At 32.0% G+C, this 5,354-nt stretch overlaps 1 annotated feature.

Moving 5' to 3' along the window:
• Positions 4,821 to 5,021: a silencer, noted in NCBI's record as "peak582 fragment used in MPRA reporter construct". NCBI's record gives its function as "represses an SCP1 promoter by STARR-seq MPRAs in K562 erythroleukemia cells {active_cell/tissue: K562}" and the evidence as "EXISTENCE:reporter gene assay evidence [ECO:0000049][PMID:32103011]".

The raw sequence follows: 5,354 nt of genomic DNA, 5'->3' as shown, positions 1-5,354 counted from the left end.
TAACCCCAAATCAGTGAAAAATTCTGGCAACAATGCTAACAGTATTAATCAATATTATGTGCAAAATATATTAATTCACCTAATGCTATGTGTTGGTGTTTTATCTCATTGTATATTTGAATAAGCATTAATTTTTTAAAAAGTGTGCAAAATTGTATTATAATAAGGTTCAAATAAGATTTTTTTTATGCTGCTCTAGTCTATTTGGAACAATACAGTGTAGAAGAGGCCAGAATAAGGATTTATTACTTATTATCCATTGCTACGTTTTTAAGTTAGCCATTAGTATTTGTTCTTCTCAATATTTTTACAAAAACTAAATGAAATGATAATGAGAAGAAATGTTTTTGTTTTGATGCAATACTACTTACAACTGTAAGATTCAGGATATGTTTTTAGTATTTTTTCATTTCTTTCCTGAGGATAGCTGTTTATAAAAATAGGCATTAAAAATTTAGAACAATTTTATTTACAGATTCAATGCAATCCCTATGAAATTACTAATACTATTCTTCACAGAAATAGAAAAAAGAAAGAGTTCTAAAATTGCATGGAACACAAAAGACTCTTAAATGCCAAAGCAATTCTGGGCAAAATGAATAAAACTGGAATCATCACACTATATGACTCCAAAATATACTACAAAGCTATAGTAACCAAATTGGCATGGCACTGGCATAAAAATAGACATATGTGCTCAACATCACTCCTTGTCAAGGAAATCCAAATCTAAATCCCAAGACAGCATCTTACCCCATTTGAATGTCAATAATCAAAAAGACAAAAAAAGTGATAAGAATGAGAAAAAGAGAAAAAGGAACTTTTATATACTGTGCTTGAAATGTAAACTAATACAGTCATTATAGAACACAGTATGAAGTTTCCTTCAAAATTTTAAAGTAGAACTACCATATTATCCAACAATCCCATTACCCAGTACTGGGTACATATTCAAAAGGAATTAAATTATTATGTCGAAGAAATATCTGCACCCCCATGTTTATTGCAGCAGTATGCATGATAGGCAAGATATGGACTCAATCTATATATCTATCAAGAGATGAATAAAGGAAATGTAATATATATGCACAATGGAATATTACTCAGCCACAAAAAGAACGAAATTCTGTCATTTGAGGCAATGTCAATGAACCTGGAGGACACTATGTTAGGAAAAATAAGTCAGCCATGGAAAAATAGATACCAAATTTTCTCATTCATGTGGAAGTTTAAAAAGTTAATCTCATAGAAGCGGCTACTAGAGGCTGGGAAGAGTAGTAGGAGGAGGAGGGATAGGAACAGATTGGTTAACATACACGAACTACAGCTAGATAAGAGGAATAAGTTCTAGTGTTTTATAGCACTGTAGGATGAGTATACTTAACAATAATTCATTATGCATTTTCAAGTAGCTAGAAGAGAGGATTTTGAATGTTCCCAATACAAAGAAATGATAAATGCTTTAGGTGATATGCTAATTCCCTGACATGATCATTTCACACTGAATATATTAATATGTACCAAAATATCACACTGAATACACAGTTATCATACACACTGCATCCAGTCTCTGCAATATTATCTTACATTACATCTTACTTTAGTATGGTTGATTTGAAACAATTAGTGAAACATCAATGAATTTTTCTCAGCTAAAATTCATACATTATTCAGATTTTTTCAGTTTTATTCCATAGTTTAAAGCTGATGTTCATTTCCTGTTTCAGGGTCCTATCCTAGATACCACATTAAATTTAGTCATCATAACTCCTCAGGCTCTGTTTGGCTGTGACAGGTTCTCCAGGTTTTCTTTCACTTTGATAGCTTTGACAATTTTGAGTACAAGACCGGTATTTTGTAGACATATCAGTGACTTTTCACTGTTGGTATTTTGATTGCCTTGTGGAGGCTGGGTTTGTCAGGTTTCTCCACTGTAGAGTTATTCTTTCTGTTCACATTTACAAATTGTACTTTCTGGAAGAAAGACACTGATTGCAGCCCACACGAAGGAGCATGCAATTATGCACCAGCTCCTTAAGGGTGAAATTTCCTCTTGTTTGGAATTCCTCTACACAGAAGACTTGTGTCTTCCGCATTTATATATTTACTCAATCATTTATTTATATAAGTATGAATTCATGATTATTTATTTTACTCTTTGGGATACAAATCTAATACTATTTTAAAATTATATCTTAATTTGTATAATTTTAGGGGCACAAGTGCAATTTTGTTACATATGTAGTTTGAATAGTGGTGAAGCCAGGGTTTTTAGGCTATCCATTGCCCAAATAATGTACTTCTTACCCATTAGTAATTTCTCTTCATCCACACCACTCTCACTCCCTCACCCTTCTGAATCTCCATAGTCTATTGTTCCACACTCTATATCCAAGCGTACACATTATTTAGCTTTCTCTTATAAGTGAGAACATGCAGTATTAATCTTTCTGACTTTTGTCACATAAGATAACCTCCAGTTCTATCCATGTTGCTGCAAAACACATGATTTCATCCTTTTTTATGGCCAAATACTATTCCCTTGTGCATATGTATCACGTTTCTTCAGCCAACCGTTTGTTGATGGCAATTTAGGGTGATTTTATATCTCCACTATTGTGAATAGTGCTGTGATAAACATATGCGTGCAAATACCGTTTTTATATAGCAGTTTCTTTTCCTTTGAGTAGATACCCAGTAGTGTGATGGCTAGATCAAATGCTAATTCTATTTTTAGTCCTTTGAGAAATCTTCATGCTGTTTACCGTAAAGATTATACTAATTTACATTCTCACCAACAGTGTATGAGAGTTCTCTTTTCTCCACAATTTTAATTTGTTGTTGTCATTGCTCAGATTGTTCTATTGTTAACCATTGGGTGAGTTTTCAATTGGTTCCTGTGTCTTTGTGACATAACCTTATTAATATGGGTATTTTATTTATCATTTTCTTACATTCTGGTACTACAAGGTGCTCTAGTTTCATCTTATATATTTCCAGTGCTGTCTTATAATCAGCCATTTCTCTAAGGAGCCCTATTTCCTTTTATTAGAAAATGGTATTAGAAACCAAGAACTGGGTGCTATTGTGTTCATTGTTTTTGGAGTATTCTTATATCTTCTCAGTCGAAAGAAAAAGGAACTGTTTGTGGGTATATGAACTCGTGCATATGCATATATCAACAAATAGTTTTATATGTAAGCATCTCTATTCATATTAAGCTAAACATAAGTTTATTCTGTGGTCTCCAAGTAATCCATTACTATGTGAATTATTTTAGCTGTTTCACTTGACATTCATTTACTTCATTGTTCCATTCCAGTATGCAGTTTTGGCAGCCTCAGAATTGTTAGGCTGAAATCTCCTGGGAAGCAACTTGATTACCTAGAGTATCATACTTCTGTTCAGGTTTCCTTTTATCCTAAAGTTTTACAGACTCCACTTATTTCCAGTTACTTAGAGATCAGTAGTTTCATAAATTTGTAATACACATATATTTTCTTGTCACAGTCTACATTCCTTTCTGGGATATTCAACTTCCTGACTTTAAAATTTGCATAATTAAAGCTCAATCTTTAACCTGTAATGTACTATGGGTTTTAACAAACGCATAATATATTGTATCCACCATTATAGTACCATAAAGAATAGTTTTGCTTTCTTAAAAGTTTCCCTGTGCTTCTCAACCTTCTCTTTTCTGCTTCATTCCTGGTTACCACTGATATTTTTACCATTGCCACAGCCTGCCTATTCTAGAATGTTACATCATTGGAATGGTACAATTAACATCCCTTTTAAACTGGAGTCTTTCATTTAGCAATGTGCATTTAAGGTTCATCCATGTCTTTTTGTGGCTTGAGACTCATTATTTTTTTTTACTGCAGAATAACATTTTATTTTATGGCTGTGCCACAGTTTGTTTGTCCATTAACATATTGAAGGCTATCTTTGTTACTTCCAGTTTTTGGATACCATTAATAAAGCATCTATACACATTTGCATGCAGGTTTTACATAGACATAAATTTTTAAAAATCAGTTGGATACATACCTAGGAACATGAATATTGAATTGTGTGGTAAGAACATGTTTTGCTTTAGAAGACAGTGCTAAACTGTTGTCCAAGGTTATGGTACCATTTTGCATCTCCACCAGCAATGAATGAGAATCCCTGTAGTTCTACATTCTTGCCAAAGATTGGTATTGTCAGTGTGTTATTTTATTATTTAAACCATTCTAACAGGCATATACTGAACTTTCACTAGAGTTTTAACGTGCAATTCCCTAATGACAAGTGACATTGAGTATGACTTTGTATGTTTATTTTCTATTTGTTTATGTAAGCTGAAGTGTCTATTTAGATCTTTTGCCCATTTTTAAATTGGGTTGCTTGTTTTCTAATTGTTGAGTTTTACAATATTTTTTGTATATTTTTTATTCAAGTCCTTTATGGGATATTCGTTTTGAAAAAAGCTTATGAGTCTGTACTTTAAATTTTTTAAACAGTATCCTTTGCTACTAAGATGCTGTTATGAGCAGTAGTTTTTAACTTAGTAATATCTAGTTTATCACTTTGTTTTTTCTGCCATGGGTTATTCATCTAGAAATATACTTAAAAGCTCATACAAATCTAAGATCACCAACATTTTCTTCTACAATTTTTTTTTAAATTTTATGTTTTACATTTAATCTGACAATCTATTATGAGTTAATTTTAGTGAAAAGTATAAGGTCTTTTTCTAGTTTTTTGCTTCTCTGTTTTGTTTTGCATAAGGACACCCAATTATTCCAATGCCATTTGGTGAAATGATCAGTCTTCTTTTATTGAAATGCCTTTCCTTTTTGTCAGGTGACTGTATTTCTGTGGGGCTGTATCTCAACATTTTTTCCTGTCTTAATGCTTTAGGTATCTATCTTTTCACGAGAACCATGCTGTCTTGTTTGCCTTAGCTTTGTGGTATGCCTTGAGATTGGGTAGAGTGTGTCTTCTAACTTTGTTCTTCTTAAGCGAAGTAGTATTGATTATTCTAGGTTTTTTGACTTGTCTTATAACCTTTAGAATCAGTATGTCTACACCAAGAAAAGTACAATTTGATGGGATTTAGAGAGAGATTTTGTTGAACATATGTATAATTGGTAAGAGTTGATATCTTAACAACATTGGGTATTCTGATCCATAAATAAATTATTATCTCTCTGTTTATTTAGATTTTTGTGTATTGCTTTTATTAGAGCTTTATAGTTTTCTACATGTATATGCTGTACATATTTTGAAAGACTTATACCCATTTCCTTTTTTGCGTGTGCTATTGTATTTTTAAATATCAAATTATAATTATTCATTACTGGCATATA

Source organism: Homo sapiens, chromosome 1 (assembly GCF_000001405.40).
Source record: "Homo sapiens chromosome 1, GRCh38.p14 Primary Assembly".
Classification (NCBI taxonomy): Eukaryota; Metazoa; Chordata; class Mammalia; order Primates; family Hominidae; genus Homo; species Homo sapiens.
This window is presented reverse-complemented; position numbering and strand designations above follow the sequence as displayed.